The sequence below is a fragment of the Homo sapiens genome, chromosome 2 (assembly GCF_000001405.40).
Source record: "Homo sapiens chromosome 2, GRCh38.p14 Primary Assembly".
Taxonomy (NCBI): Eukaryota; Metazoa; Chordata; class Mammalia; order Primates; family Hominidae; genus Homo; species Homo sapiens.
The window spans coordinates 97,757,518-97,773,337 of record NC_000002.12 but is presented as its reverse complement, the minus strand read 5'-3'; the positions used below and the strand labels follow the sequence as shown (position 1 = coordinate 97,773,337).

The 15,820-nt window shown below is 47.1% G+C and overlaps 1 protein-coding gene across 8 annotated transcripts in view, besides 4 other annotated features; it reads left to right on the top strand.

The window, feature by feature from the left end:
• TMEM131 (transmembrane protein 131) overlaps positions 1-15,820 on the top strand; it is a 239,613-nt gene that overhangs the window by 222,611 nt on the left and 1,182 nt on the right. For 6 of the 8 annotated variants that reach the window (XM_047443844.1, NM_015348.2, XM_011510869.2 and 3 more), the window contains 8 exons: positions 914-1,041; positions 6,736-6,860; positions 7,075-7,224; positions 11,138-11,303; positions 12,424-12,545; positions 12,649-12,745; positions 13,589-13,686; positions 14,285-14,445. In XM_047443844.1, coding sequence (XP_047299800.1) covers positions 914-1,041; positions 6,736-6,860; positions 7,075-7,224; positions 11,138-11,303; positions 12,424-12,545; positions 12,649-12,745; positions 13,589-13,686; positions 14,285-14,445 — 1,047 coding nt within the window. The remainder of the gene's footprint in view (positions 1-913; positions 1,042-6,735; positions 6,861-7,074; positions 7,225-11,137; positions 11,304-12,423; positions 12,546-12,648; positions 12,746-13,588; positions 13,687-14,284; positions 14,446-15,820) is intronic. The other 2 variants (XM_047443843.1, XM_005263910.2) reach the window with 1 other exon arrangement.
• Positions 2,198-2,710: an enhancer, noted in NCBI's record as "OCT4-NANOG hESC enhancer chr2:98387091-98387603 (GRCh37/hg19 assembly coordinates)". NCBI's record gives its function as "activates a minimal SCP1, AML or CMV promoter by ChIP-STARR-seq in naive H9 embryonic stem cells {active_cell/tissue: H9 hESC(naive)}" and the evidence as "EXISTENCE:reporter gene assay evidence [ECO:0000049][PMID:30033119]".
• Positions 2,711-3,224: an enhancer, noted in NCBI's record as "OCT4-NANOG hESC enhancer chr2:98386577-98387090 (GRCh37/hg19 assembly coordinates)". NCBI's record gives its function as "activates a minimal SCP1, AML or CMV promoter by ChIP-STARR-seq in naive H9 embryonic stem cells {active_cell/tissue: H9 hESC(naive)}" and the evidence as "EXISTENCE:reporter gene assay evidence [ECO:0000049][PMID:30033119]".
• Positions 9,117-9,898: an enhancer, noted in NCBI's record as "H3K4me1 hESC enhancer chr2:98379903-98380684 (GRCh37/hg19 assembly coordinates)". NCBI's record gives its function as "activates a minimal SCP1, AML or CMV promoter by ChIP-STARR-seq in primed H9 embryonic stem cells {active_cell/tissue: H9 hESC(primed)}" and the evidence as "EXISTENCE:reporter gene assay evidence [ECO:0000049][PMID:30033119]".
• Positions 11,834-12,053: an enhancer, noted in NCBI's record as "active region_16245". NCBI's record gives its function as "activates an Ori minimal core promoter by ATAC-STARR-seq in GM12878 lymphoblastoid cells {active_cell/tissue: GM12878}" and the evidence as "EXISTENCE:reporter gene assay evidence [ECO:0000049][PMID:35858748]".

Here is a 15,820-nt window from a genome sequence, read left to right as displayed (position 1 = left end):
GAGGAGAAACTGGGCCCTCTTGGTAATCCTATGGCCTGGCACCAAGCGGGTGACCCGTAAATGTGTGTGGATGAACTGGACAAACAGCCCCTCCCATTGATGGAGCAGCTGTTAGCTTAGCATTAAACCAGCCGGAACCCTGCCGCAATCGCAGGCAGGCGAGCATGGCCCCTTTGGCTGCCGCACTGCTCTCTTGTCCTGAGAGTTGTGCTCAGGATGGGGTGCATGGCTGGAGTGCTTGACTTTATACTGCAGTCTCTACTGAACTTTTCTTTTAAGGAAATACAGTGTTTTACTCCCCAGTGCTTGAAAAGAAGCTACCAATTTGCTACTGCCACTGCCACCACCATCTCCAGTCAGGATATGAGTATAAATTAAAATGACGTTCTTTATAACTCCAACTCACCAAAACGTAGTCGAGACAAATTTTACTTTATTTTTTGAGATGGCGTCTCGCTCTGTCGCCCAGGCTGAGTTTAGTGGCATGATCTCAGCTCACTGCAACCCCTGCCTCCCCAGTTCAAGCGATTCTCATGCCTCAGCCTCCCAAGTAGCTGGGATTACAGGCATGCGCCACCACGCCCAGCTAGTTTTTTGTATTTTTAGTAGAGACAGGGTTTTACCATGTTGCCCAGACTAGTCTTGAACTTCTGAGCTCAGGCAATCCACCTGCCTCGGCTTCCCAGAGTGCTGGGATTACAGGCATGCGCCACCGCACACAGCTGAGACAAATTAAAGAAGGCCAAAAAATTGACAGAACCGCAGTGAAGACAGATTTGAAGAAACGAGTTTGTTTTTACGTATATGATGTGTATATTTTTACATCTTTGATTTTGTGTCTGTATCTTAAAATGGAACTAATTTCAGTCATTTTATTAATCCTTCTCAGCAATTAAGTGTCCATTTTTTACAGGATACAGAAAAGCAAAAGGGAAAACAAGCCATGCCTGAAAAACATGAAAGTGAAATGTCTCAAGTGAAGCAAAAAAGCAAAAAACTCTTAAATATTAAGAAAGAAATCCCAACAGATGTGAAACCCAGGTGAGAGAAATAAGTGTACAGAGAAATAAGGTCTATAAAGAAGTTGCTGGCGAAAACCAGGTGCTGTTTTGATTTGGCCATTTGGCTGGCTGGTTGGCTTTTAGGGGAGTTGATAGCAAAATCCAGGTGCTACGTCACATTCCTCTTGGGATTTTTCTGTCACCTGATATGTACTGTTGTTGACTCGGAATAGCCATATGCTTCTCAAGTCAGATATGCAGAGGGCAGAGCTCACGATCTGTTATAAAAATTTAGGAGGAAAATTTCTGTTGGTGATTCAGTCCCAGGCTGAGATCCATTTTACTTCTGCACAAAGATGACCTTGACGATTGAACCACAGGTACAAGCATAACTTTCCTCCAAAAGATCTCTGAGTCTGTCGAATTGTTAACCCAGTTGGGATCTAGAGTTCCATGCCATAAAACTTGGAAAAGTTTATTCTTACCTTAAAAATGGTTCAGAGCAGGTGTCACCAGTCAGACGGTTCTACCATTAAATAACTCCAGTTCCTCCCCATGGAATGGGATTCAGTGGCCCCCGGGGAGGGCTTGTGCAGGCTGTTTCCCCAGGGAGATGAGTGAGTTGAACTGTTGGGTTATTAACTGAAGTTACTTCACATTTTCATTAAACCTTGGCTCAGCATCTACCTGATAATTTTAGTGTTGGTGCATCAGTAATACCTTTCCTGGTTCATTGTATAGAACTGTCATCAGCACGGGAGCTGCTGTCTACCCGCTTGTGGGTTGTGATCAGTAGAAAGTGACAGAGGAAGTCGAATAAATTAGGTGTAAATTTAAAAGGAAGACATGGCTTGTCTGTCATCATAAGTGTGGGCCATAGATTTGTGGAAGGTCTATTCTTACTCTGATCCTGGGAATCATACTTGAGTTTTGCAAAAACACCACTAACCTAGACTCTGTCCCTAGATTATATGGCTTCAGGCAGGGCCAGTCCTGTTCTATAGAACCCAAAAGCTAGTAAGAAATTAGTGATAACTGCAGTAAAATTTAACCTTGTCCCTGAATTTATGAAATAATACAGTATATGGTGGTGCTTAGTAATGAAGTATTTGTACCTAAAATTTACTCTTTTGTGGCAATTGTTAGTTCAAGTGACCAGGTCCCACAATTTGTTGAGAGCAGTCTGGCCCAGGTAGAAGGAACGTCAAGCAGAGTGGTATCAGGTGGTTGATCATTTGAAGGGGAGAGAGAAAAGGAGACCACCTCTTCTGAAGAGGAGGTTCACATACTTGGATCTCTCCTGAGAGAAATCCACCTGAGACACCAATATCCTGGCACCCAGGACAGGAATAACACTGGGCTACTAGCTAGAGATTCTTCTTCTTGGCCTTTTTCAGGCTTAGGTGAGTGATCAGATATTTTAAAGTAAATGAGGCTAATAAGTCCAAATAATGAAAATCCTCATTTTTACATTTGCAGAAATCTTGTGAGGTAGACAGACATGCAGTAATTCCTATGATGATAAATTTTAAAACCAGTGCATCTAAGAATTATCTTAGAGGTACCATTCCATAGGTGACTGTCACCAAATTGGCCCTGTTGATTAGCCCTCAGGCCTGAGCTTAGTATTGTTAAGCAGATAGAACACACTAATCCTAACCCCCATCCCTGTTCCACTGACTTACATTGTATTCTGATTTTTTTTACAAGTTGACCATCAGCAAATTTGCATTTGAAAAGTTAGTCAAAGACGTCGCTTGAGTGTCATTACCTTTGCAAGGGTTTTTAGTTCTCTTGTAAACCAAAAAGCTTAGAGTGGTCAGTCCTGAACCGCCTAGTCAAGGGGCAGTTATAGCAATAACCGGTGCTCTCTCAATATGTAGTTAAAAGATAAATCATTACCAGAACACAAATCAAGCCGTGTGCTTGAAACTGTCTTTTGTAACTGGAGAAATCTATATGCAACCTTTCTTCTATCCTCCTTTATCTGATCTCTTTAAACTCACTGATCTCTTGTTTTTCTGAACTCGAGGATGAAAGTATTGAGTCAGAATTTATTAGTTCATCAATCATTTAATCAAATAAAGACTGGTTTTTTTAATAACCGGAGAAGGTTGGCTTTCTGAACAGAGCCATTCTGTGACTCCACTGCATTCTGATAATAAATGTCAAACACTGTCACTCAGAATCACAGCCAGTACTAGCTTTAGTGATTCCTGAAATTCCTGTCACCTTTTAGTGTGTTAATATATAACCCCACATGTCTGAAGGACAGGTACACATCTTTTAATAAGATATGTCATTAATAAGGCATATATCATTGCTGTCTTTCGGAAGCTTTGTGAGAGGTGATAAAGCCAGAGGAGTGGCTCAGCCCCATCCATCCACACTCCCAAGAGTTGACCTCAAAAAAATCACTTGCTAGGAAATAGGAGGGTGGGGCTGCAGCAACAGAAATCTGATCTAACCGTGTTTTCCAGCTGTGGCAACATAGAAATGGGCCTGCAGACCTCCGGAAAACTGTAGTCTATGGCAGAGATGCCAAGGAATGGGAATCAGATCTCAGGCACTGAAGGTTTCTGCAGAACCAGGAAGGGCCCAGGGCATCCCTGGTTTAGGACCCTGAGTATTCACTGATCCTTTTGTTTTTCTATTTGTTTATCAACAGTATATGTTTACATAAATGTAATAATCTAAAATAAGCAAAAGAAGTAGATTAATCATATTATCTGTAAAAATCTGCTTAAATAACACTCTCAACTCAGGCCCAAGGGCTGTGAACACCACACTGCACACGCCAGCCCCAGACCTGTCAGCACTCAGAAAACCCTGCTCCACAGCTGGTCATGTCCCTAGCTGTGTCCTCAGCTCTGCCTCTCTCCTCCCCAGACAGAAATGTGTACTGTGTATTACAGGAATAAAAATAGGCCAGGCTTGAGTCAGGTGTAACGTTGTGAAAAGCAAAAATAAAAAGAATACGAAATCTCAGAATATTAAGAAAAAGAAAAACATTATTATTAAAAAATGGAGGAAAATATATTATAAAAATAAGCCAGGTGTGGTAGCTCACATCTATAATCCCAGCACTTTGGGAGGTCAAGGCAGGAGGATTGCTTGAGCCCAGGAGTTCAAGATCAGCCTGGAAAATATAGCAAGACCTTATCTTACAAAAAGTTTTTCTTTTAAATTAGCCAGGTGTGATGGCACACACCTGTAGTCCCAACTACTAGGGAGGCTGAGGCAGGAGTTAGAGACTGCATAGAGCCCAGGAGTTAGAGACTCAGGAGTTGAGCCCAGGAGTTAGAGACTGCAGAGAGCCGTGATTGCACCACTGCACTCTAGCCTGAGCAACAGACTGAGACCCTGTCAGTAAATAAATAAATAAAGCCTGGCATCTGAACCACCTGTTTTTCCTTTTTAAAAAGAATCACTTCAGTCTGGGCACGGTGGCTCACACCTGTAATCCCACTGTAATCCCAGCACTTTGGGAGGCCAAGGACGGCAGATCACCGGAGGTCAGGACTTCGAGACCAGCCTCACCAACATCGTGAAACCCCATCTCTGTTAAAAATACAAAAATTAACCAAGCATGGTGGCACACACCTGTAATCCCAGCTACTCAGGAGGCTGAGGCAGGAGAATTGCTTGAGCCTGGGAGGCAGAGGTTACAGTGAGCCAAGATCGTGCCACTGCACTCCAGCCTGGGTGACAGAGTGAGACTCTGTCTCAAAAAAATGAATCGCTTCAATTAAGTTGGCCGTTACCCATTTTATTCAGAAGCCTTAAAAAAGGATTCTTGATAGAGATCATCTGGCTTAATTTAGGAAAGTATGAATCAGCAAAAATAACAGGAGTTGTCTGGCACCTTTCTTCTTAAAAACCAATTACTTTTACAGTGGCACAGAATTTAGTTTTGTATAAATAGCTACCCACGCACACTTAAAAATAGATCACACCCACACCACCTCCACCACCAGAGGGCTGGTGTCTACTATGGGAGCCTTTGGGGTTTTTTTAGAAGATGGGTTTTTTAAATAACCCTGTCAGTCAGAAGTAGAAGAGATACAAAAGATTTTATAATGTAGCATTCATCATCTGGCCCATAAACAGTGGATTTTTCACTTCAGTTTGTTATCCTACCTAAAATTCTAGTTATTTGGGCTAACGGAAACCCTTTGGCTTTTTGGTTTGCTCTCTTACTAATTCCAGATATAATACCTACTTATTATTATATAATACCTACTTGTGAAATACAACGAAACAAAAGAAAATGTCCTTTGACCCTACCACCTTATAAAATGTTTGTAAATAGCCTTCTTAAATGTATTTGTTTATTTATGAGCTCACACTTTACATTGAGGATGTTGGGGAATGAGGGTGTTATGGTGCCGTTAGATCGGGAAAGTTGGAACTCTTCTCACCTTTGAAATCTCCTGTGAATGAGCACAGCAGATTGCCTCTGACCCAGAACCTAGCTGAAATGTACTGTATCCTGTGGGCTGGGAGGACAGAAGGCAACATGGTGCGTGAAGAACTTGGAGGATGGGGCCGGGAGTCCTGAGTAGTATCACACACTTGAGGGTTGGGAGCAGAAAGCACACTGAAATGTGGAAAATGCCGGCGATGCATCCATTTTACACCATCTGTGTAGACTTTGTAGATTTGGAATGAAAAGCTAGCCATCAGCTCAGCCCTGAACTGACAGCTGTCACCAGGAGCTCTGTAGAGATCCCTGAGGATTCTTGGAAGATTTCTCCAAAGGGGCCACTGGGCTCTCTGAGCTGCATCTCAGCCTTTGCTGGAAAAGGTCCTTCTTGGACCACATTAGCTGAGCTCCTTCCGGAGGTCCTCCCAGTCCCAGACATGGTCTTGGTGGGCATTAGAGATGTGGCTTCATAAAGAATGCCTTTGTAGCCCATATAGGTATTCTACTCACAATGCTGTCTTCCATGGGCCAGCTACCCAGTTCATTTCTCTCAGAGATTCATTCTTTCCAGCTGCTGTCTCCCAGCAGGTTTTCCTACCTCACTTATTGAGCTTTGGAAACTTAAGATATATTTATACATGCTTATTATCTTAAGCTTACCTCAATATCTTTCAGAAAGCGTCACTCTAAATAAATCAATAAAAAATATATTTAATTTTTTTGCTTAAGATTAACCCTGAGTTCAAGAATAAGGAAGAAAATTCATCCTAGCCCACTCCCTGTAGTAACCAGGAACTTAGCTCTGGGTCACCTCATAATTTCTATGAGAAAAATTTGTTCAGTTTTGAATAGTGGAGTCTCTAATGTTATAGATGTGAGATCTTTCAAAATCTTCATGTTCAGGAATCCCACTGGTGGTGGTCTAGATGCTGGGAGAGACTCACAGGCAGAATGACCGCACTTCCAGCCCTGAGCAGCAAGTTGGAGCTAAGGGCTTTCTTTCTATGCCTTATCTGAGATAGATCCTCCCTCACGTTACGTATTATTAAATAATGGACCTCAGTTCATTGTCAGCACTTGGAATAGCAAAGGTTCAGTCTGCAAGTGCTGAATGTCTGCTGGGCAGTCTTAGCTACAGCGTTGGGCATGCAGCCAGTCCTGAGTTAGGACCAAGGGTAGATAACGCCCCAGGAAGCCACATTAGCTTCCTGCATGCAGTTGTATTGTAGAAGAATTACAATCTTAATGACTTCTGTCCTCCAAAACAGAGGAATAAATTTGTATTTTCCATCCCTGATTGTCTTTCAGTTCATTAGAACTACCATATACTCCCCCTTTGGAAAGTAAGCAACGTAGAAATCTCCCAAGCAAGATTCCTCTTCCAACTGCAATGACAAGTGGATCCAAATCACGAAATGCCCAGAAAACAAAAGGTATTGTCATCTTGTTCTCTATGATCATGTCTTACGGATCTTTTCATAGTGCACCGTATTAACAATTGTTGTGCATTATCAGTAAGCAGTCAGTAGTTATTAGTCATGCAAGGCTAAGGCTGTGTTCTTGTCCTCATTAGAAGGTTCATTGAAATAGACCTGAAAGAAAGGAATGATTCTCCATTAACCATGTTCTTTTCTGATTTTTGTGCAGGTACAAGTAAGTTAGTGGATAACAGACCACCTGCCCTAGCAAAATTCCTCCCGAATAGTCAAGAATTAGGCAACACCAGTAGCTCAGAGGGTGAAAAAGACTCTCCTCCACCGGAGTGGGATTCCGTTCCAGTTCACAAACCTGGCAGCTGTAAGTATAGTAGTTTAGAAACCACAGGGCTCCACTTACCCACAATCCACCCCACTCTGGGCATGGAACTCTTCAGGGGCATGTTGCTTTAAAATACCCATTGACAGTGCTTTGCCAGCTAAGAGCCCATTGTTAACTAGCCTAATCAGTGGCTAAACTGCCGTAGGTTGAAATCAGTCCTGGTAAGATTATTTACATCAGGGGACTCATTCAACAATTCACATCAGGGCTTTTTTTTTTTCAGGGAGCTGGTATACTAGCACACCACTGCCCAATGTGCAAAATGGAATGGTCTGTTTGGAGTGGTTAATCTTCTAAAGAATTGTTTGCCTTATACAAGTATTGACTTAGCTATCCTTTACCTGATGAGTTCCTCATTTATAGTGTAATTGTTTTTGTAAGAATTCCATCCTCTCAACTTTACCCACATCTTTTTACATGAGCAACCTACACAAAGGTTTCATTATTTTTCTCACTACCTTGACCTTGTTTCTCCAGTTTGGCCTGCAGTAAATCAAGACAGTAGGCACAGTCAACCAAAATAGAAATCCTCACCCTACAGACACTTGACCTGAAATAGGGGGCAACAGAGACCAGAAAAGGGAGCAGCTGACAGCAGGGATTTGAGATCAAGAGAGGTCCTGGCTTTAGGACTGATTGGTCCGCACTCACCACTGTGTTGGAGTGTACCAGAGGGCAAGTCAGGAAGACCAGAGATGCAGTCAGGTTTGAGCAACAGTCGGGTCATTGAAGGTGAAAGGAGTTGGACGAAGGGCAGGCTCACTGGGCTGAATGAGGGCAGAGAGCCTTGGAGGCTCGGGTAGGGCGTCCACGCTCTCGCCGGAATGTGTAGATACATCCTGGAAAGAGATGCTCTCTGAGATACATCCTGTAGCCCTATTTGCCATGAGACTTTCTGGCACCTTTTAGTACTACTTTTTGCCAGGGGTGGGATACAATCCTAAATCCTTCACTCAGCAAATCTTGAAGAAGACCGTGGGTGGTCCGTGTGTCCAGGTGGGATGCTTCTGCTTCCTAGCGCCCCCTGAGGTTTCTGCTGGCCATTGGCTCTTGGCTTAACACTCCACGATTTAGGCAGTTCCCCATTAAACAGATGCCACTTTCAGCAACAGAACACAGCCCCTGGAGCCAGTTTCACAGGGGTGTTCTGAGGCCCAGTGAGGTGACATGAGCCGTGTTGGTGACGTAATGACACAAGCATGCAGAACCATGCTGCCGGGAGAGCAGGTGACAGCCAGACACAGCCACAAACTGGCTGGCAGCATCCCCACCTGGTGGCACCTGAGCCACATGTTGACATCACTCCTTCTGTGTGGAGGGGAAAGGATGACAGGACCCAACCCCAGACAGGAGATTTTGGTGCCACTCCTCGGGGCAGGAATGTGGGAAATGGCAGGCCAGCCCTCTGGAGGAGGAACTGTGAAGGGCCCAGTGCCGCATGCCTCAGTTTCCTGCCTGGCTCTTCCACAGAGGCCAGCTGGTGCATCTGAGCATGGCGCCTCAGGGCAGAGCTCCACGGTGGGCACTGGGGGAAGAGATGCAGAGCTTGTCTCCTCAGCCCACGTCTGTGCAGTCCTTTTGTGTTTTTCTAGCCAAGCAGTCCCTTACACTGGTTCCAAGCCCTGTGACCTCTCTGCCCTCACTGCCAGCGTTACTAAAATGTTCCAGCAGAGCTCCACTCGATAGAGAATATGGGTGGAGGAAACCCAGAAGAGTCGGTCCCACATGCTCTCCATCACTTTTACCTTCCTGCTCTGCCCCAGCTTTCTCATCCCCTTTTATCCCTTCGCCTCCCTTGGTGTTTCGTCTTGCTTAGACCTGAAGTTCTGCGAGCGCTGTTGGCAGTGCCAAGCTTAGTGCAGTTCCTTGGGGTGAAAGCGTTGGTCCCACCCAAGACTGTGCAGCCAGCATGTGGCAGTAGCCGCTGGGGGAGTTGTGCAGCCTCTGTGTAAAGATCTCTCCATCCCAAGTAGCACCCCTTAGCATGGTGCCCTATACCATCTGTACCACATGAGTTGCAGAGAAAATGCTCCTTGAATAATTTCATGATTTAAAAAGGCAAAAAATACAAAGGGTTATTAAAAGGAAAAGCAAATCAGAAGCCACAAAGGAAAATTTTAATAATATTTGAATCAAAACGTTCTCTAATTGCAGCTCGTGTACTGTTCAGAGTCTCCCCTTCACTCCTACCTCAAGCACTGTTCAGTAGGGGCTTTTGCTAACTTCCCTTTGCTTTTCCTGTTTCATTTCATCATCACTGTCTTGGGAGCATCTGTAGTTCTGGGCCCTGTGAAACACATTCCACCCACAGGAGCTGCCCGCACCTTTCCCCAGGACAGGCACCTCGGGAGGATCGAGCGCACACAAAACGGAGCACAGCCTGCTCCAAGTGTGGGCACTGCCTGAGGGGACGAGTCACTGCAGGGGCGGAGCGAGGCCAGAGGAAGTGGCTAGGGAAGGGTCAGGACAGTTGTACAAATAGCAAGCCGACAGTGTAGACGTGGTGTCAGATGGGAGGCCTCAGAGGAGCTTGATGGGGACAAAGATTCGAGCAGGGCTCGTATGGGAGAGCGGTGTGAGACACGTCCTGAGTGTGGGCATCAGGTCAGCAGATCCACAGAACCAGCGAGGAGGGGCCCATGTCATCAAGGGGTGAGAGTGGGCGGGTGGGAGACAGGACCGTGAGTCTGGCACCAGTACCAGCAGCACTGGGGAAGGTGAGAGAGAAGGTAGCAGGCAGCCCTGAGGATGGCGGAGTGGAGAGCACGGGCTTCCAAGGGAAGGCTGCTTTGCTCGGCAGGGCCATGCTGGAGGCTTGACCTAGCCAAGACATGGGAAACCTTGAGCCCTGAGCCCTGGGGGTAGGGGAGAAGCAGCTTGTGCTACAGGGTGTGACCAGGGAAGCAAGAGGCAGCAGGCAGAGCGGCTGCAATGTGGCAGTGAGGGGACGGGAGAAGTGGAGCCGGGGGTACTCAGGGTACGCGGAAATCTCACAAGGCAGGAGGGGCCAGCCAGGTAGCGAGCTGGCCAGGCCTGGGCTGGGGATCGTGCCCTGTGGTGATGGGAATTCACAGGTCCAAGCTCTCCCCCACCTTCTTCCTCTTGCAGTAGCTACAGCAGCACCAAGTTGCACACAATAGATGTGCAAAATGATACATTTTTCTGATAAAAGGTATACATATTTCCGTTTACTGAGTAGAGAATGTTATTTTATGACTGAAATTTTTTGTTTTAATTTCAGAGATGGGGTCAGGCTGGAGTGCAATGGTGTGATTATAGCTCACTGCAGCCTCAAACTCCTGGCTCAAGCCTCCCACCTCAGCCTCCCAAAGTGCTGAGGTTACAGGTCCGAGCCACTGTGCCCAGCCTGTTTTAGATTTTTAAAACAGCTGTATAGACATTACTTTAAAGGGCACAGGAATATACTAGGAGCTTAATAGGGATCAGAGCTGCACATCCCAGTCACGCCAATGGAGAGGCTTTACTGAACTTGGGGATTCAGCCCGGAACACTGCACCTCCCACAGCTGTAAACCTGCGTGTAGGCACAAGGATTTTCCAGGTCCCCAGGCAGCGGCCTCAGCTGTCCACCCCTGGAGGATGTGGAAGACCCTCCTCCCCTACCTGAGGTGGGAGAAGTGAAGACATTGACTGTCCGCCACACAACACAGCAGGGACCGGGCACGCTCTTGCTCCCCTCAAATCCCCGAGTGCAGAGAGATGTGGCTGCTTTCTCTTTAAAACCTGTTAAACAGAACACATCTAAGAGCTTTCGTTTGTTTTCTTTGTAGAAGGGCTTGAGTTATGCATAGTCTTAGAGAACATTCAAAGTGATTTGGAAGAGCGCTAATCAAAACACCACACTAACGAGCCCGTTTGTTTTTAATTTCCAGCTACTGATAGTCTTTATAAACTTTCTCTGCAAACCCTCAACGCAGACATTTTCTTAAAACAACGCCAGACCTCACCGACACCTGCTTCCCCGTCTCCCCCAGCTGCCCCCTGCCCCTTTGTGGCCCGGGGCAGCTACAGCAGCATCGTCAACAGCAGCTCCAGCAGGTAGGCCTGCTGCTTCCTTTCCGGTTCTCAGCTTGAAATGTGCCTAAAACCCGATGTCACACCCTTTAAATGGAAACACTTAGCGGCCACAGGCCACTGTCTGGTGTTACTTCTGATGGCTGCCAGCTTGTGTGGACCCTTTTACCTGGGGTCCACCCCCGCTTCCTGCTGCTGTGCCCAGCTCCAACAGTAACCCGGTTCCCATTCTAATCCATTCATTCTTACCACCTGTGGACCGAGAAATGCACCATTTAACTCACTAGAGTGATATTCTCAGTGAGCCAATGAACATTTACTAAGCCTTACATGAAGACCTAAAGGGGATTCCTGTGAGTTGGGAGTATGGGTTTATGTGACACTAATTTTGGCCTTTGGACAATTTGGCTTAGGACTTAGAAGGGCAGGACCTGGTCCAAGACCGTTGTGCTGGGTGAGGTGCTGCAGTAGGGGATGTGTGCACCCGGGAGGGCAGCCTCCTGACCACACAGACAGGATGCAGGAAGCATGCTGTTCTCCGAGGCACGGAGCCTCACTCGTGTCCGCCTGCCACAGTGTACCGCAAGCCTGACAGTCACGGATGGCACTCTCACCGTGTGCCTCGCCGTGGCGTGGGTTTCTGTGCATCGCGTCACCGGCCAGCCTAGGGTCAGGTCCTCCCCGCCGTTGCCCAAGAGGCAGTAACCACTGAGGCTGGGGGAGCCACCCCGCTTCTGGGCCTTGCCACAGGAGCACCTCGCCGTGTCCTGGCAGGGAAGGAGACTCCCTGAGGCCCCGCCCTTTCCGGTGTCGGTGGCTGCCCTCTGCATTTCCTGCCGAGTGGCTCTCTAGCATTCTTCACAAAAGTGTGATCGAAGCCTCTGCCAGTCCCTAAATTGTGATCCCTGCCCTGGTCTCTTTCATAGTGATCTTTTGTTTTCTTACCTTTCTCCAGAAAGCCCTCTATCTCTGTCTGATTAAGCAGTCTGAGGCCCCAGAGCATGTGACATGAGGCTGAGCGATGCTCTGTGAGCTGCCCCGCTGCAGAGAAGCCCACTCAGGGCTCAGTCCTGCCAGCCCCACACCTCCCCGAGACAGGGCACTGCTGATGAGGAATGAGTTCTCTCTTTGCTTCTTTTTCAAGTGACCCTAAAATAAAACAGCCAAATGGAAGCAAACACAAGTTGACAAAGGCAGCCTCGCTCCCGGGCAAGAACGGCAACCCCACTTTTGCTGCAGTCACGGCTGGCTACGACAAGAGCCCAGGTCAGTGCCTTTGCTTCAGAGACCTGCCACGCCAGGCGCCAGGCCTGGTGGAATGACCTCTGTCCTAATGTGCCTTCCATTGATTGAACGTCCATTGTTACAGGTGGGAATGGCTTTGCTAAAGTTTCTTCAAACAAAACAGGTTTCTCCAGCAGCCTTGGCATTTCACACGCTCCTGTTGACAGCGATGGCTCAGACAGGTACGGTAGACCACCACTAACCGCTAGAAAGACGGAAGGCTTCTCAAGTCGGGTTAGCACCTTTTTATCCATAAATGGGTTTCAGGGCATTTTTCCCCTAATTTACAAGGAGGCATTTGTCAGAAGTGGTCAAGTGCCTCTAAGAAATCATGTCTGCTGGGTGGAAGCAGAAAGCCGGCTGCGGTGCCTTCCCCAGGGGGTCCAGATAGAGAAAGGGGGCACCCATGCCTGTCTCAGCCAGGCAGACACACGTTACACCTGTTCTCACTCTCCTCCATCTCCTGGTCTGTGGTAAGATGTGATCTGATCATTAAAAATAGAAGAGCGAAAGTGACTTGGGAGGGGGGAAATCTGGAGCAAATACTAGCCAATTTATAGTAAATCACTGGCCACGCCTCTTTCTTGAGCAGGCTTGTTTATCATGCAGGGGGTGTGGTGGCCTGCAGCAGTCACCTTGGTTGACTTTTCCAGATAAGCAACAATAGAGCCCCAATTTACCTACTTTGCACTAATAGGAAATGAGTTCTAGATTTGAAATAGTTTTTAAATAAATCTTCCAGTACCAAAAAGCAAACAGAAGGAAAAAATGTCTGTTTCTCTGCAAAACACTTGCTTTGAACCTGGCTGTGAGCTAGTGATAGGGCATCCGGAGCTCTGGGGCTCCCTCCGACTCAACCCTTGTGGTAAGCAGCCATTGTTCAGCTCTTCCTTTTGTCTGTTTTTAATATTTGAGTACCCCCAGTTGAAGCAGTGTCTCCTGTTTGTGAAGCTGTGCACTATGGATCCGTTTGCACTAACCACCATACATTTTTGTGTGTTGCGTTTTCCTCTTGTAACATTTAGCTCGGGTTTGTGGAGTCCCGTCAGCAACCCAAGCAGCCCTGACTTCACTCCCCTCAATTCGTTCTCCGCCTTTGGAAACTCTTTTAATCTAACTGGTGGTGAGTGTTTAACACTAGATGTGTAACTAATAAGCCTGTGGACAGAGGAAGGGAGAGGAGGTGTGGTTTTGTGTGCTGGAGAACACAGCACAGCAGCACTGTGGAAGAGGCCCCGCAGGAAGCTCCCTGGGAAGGGTCCCCTCCCCTCTTCCTCCCTCATCCACACCAGCAGCCCAGAGGGGCAGTGGACCAGGCTCGACACGGTGTGCGCACACCAGTTGGTGTGAGTTCCATGGCGGGTATTGAAGGGCTTCACAGAAGGGTTCTGGTCTGAAATGGGACCCCTGAGTGTGCCAGGGGTCCTCTTCTTGCTGTCCAGAACTAGAGGTCACCATGGAAGCTTCCCATTAGCTATCATGTGAGAGTGGGGAAAGTTTGCATTTGGATGTCATTGGTGGCATATCAGCTCGTGCACTATGCGTTTGAGTTCTGGAGGACACTCCTGCCCCTACTTCCTCTGGGCTGTGGTGGGCTGGTGAAGTGGGTGTGGTGGCTCCAGGAGCAGTGGTTGGAGGTATGCCATTGAGTGAAGCCCCATATGCTATAGTGATCATGGCAAAACCAAATATGGACTTGATGACTGTTGCTTTATTTCCAGAAGTTTTCAGCAAACTCGGATTATCTCGATCGTGCAATCAGGCCTCACAGAGGAGCTGGAACGAGTTTAATAGTGGCCCTTCATACCTTTGGGAGTCGCCAGCGACAGATCCCAGTCCTTCCTGGCCAGCCAGTTCCGGCTCCCCGACCCACACAGCCACAGTGAGTACTTGGGGCTGGGGCTGGGGCCTGGACCTGGCCCACCCACTCGCCATCTGCCATTGCTGTGACATGGATGGCACTGACATAGTTATAAACAACAAACAGCAGCATCAGAGGGGTGGGTTAGTACTTTTATTGTCTCCATTGCTTTGTCTTCATATTCTGTCAAAATGACTGATCGATGTTCTTCAGAGCCATTACAATCAGGAAGTTTTAGGAAGAACAACTGAACAGCTATGGGGTTGGTCTCTGGAGTCCCTCCTAATAGCTCAAGGGCATTTTCTGCCTCTTCCCAACCTGTAAATGGACCACAAGGGTGACCATAGGCCTATGGCAGGTTCAGATGGTTGAGGGAAGCCTTCGGCATCTGTGCAATGCAGCCACTGGCCACCCAGGAGCAAGCTAGATACTGCATTTACTTTGTTGCTGAGAAGCACCTGTCTCTTAGGTTAGATTTTCAAGAGTGCATTTGTTTGCTTCTTGGCTAAAGTCTTCTGCAAAGACCATGCTGAAAAGAGTATTCTTGCCAAGGAAAATAATTAGTGGTTTTGGCTTCCACAAAATTATGACAGAAAAATATGACCCCACTGTGTTTGCCTCTTTGTTCTCAGAGAAACTAAACATGCAAGGTTTTATAACAGATATTTCAACTTTACAGATTCCAAAGGTTGTCTTCATGTGTAATTATTCAGCCTTATGTTTTAAAACCACCTTAACCATTCTTTAAAAGAGAAGTCAGCAAACTTTTTTTTTTTTTTTTTGAGACAGAGTCTTGCTCTGTAGCCCAGGCTGGAGTGCAGTGGCACAATCTCGGCTCACTGCAAGCTCCGCCTCCTGGGTTCATGCCATTCTCCTGCCTCAGCCTCCTGAGTAGCTGGGACTAGAGGCGCCCACCACCACACCCGGCTAATTTTTTGTATTTTTAGTAGAGACGGGGTTTCACCATGTTAGCCAGGATGATCTCGATCTCCTGACCTCGTGATCCGCCCACGTCGGCCTCCCAAAGTGGGAGTCAGCAAACTTTCTATAAAGAGTCAGATAGTAACTATTTGAGGCTCTGAAGGCCATGCTTCACCACTGCCATTGCAGTGCACAGGCCGATGGGCGCAGCTGTGTTCCAATACAACTCTCTTTACAAAAGTAGGCAGAGCTGGATTTGGTCCACAAGCTGTCTTTTTTAAAATATCACAACTAGCCGGCATGATGGCTAGTGCCTGTAATCCCAGCACTTTGGGAGGCTGAGGTGGGAAGATCACTTGAGCCCAGGAGTTTGAGGCTGCAGTGAGGCATGATCACACCACTGCACTCCAGCCTGAGTGATGGAGCAAGACCCTGTCTCAAAAAAATCAGAAACATCTGCTCAAATACATATATA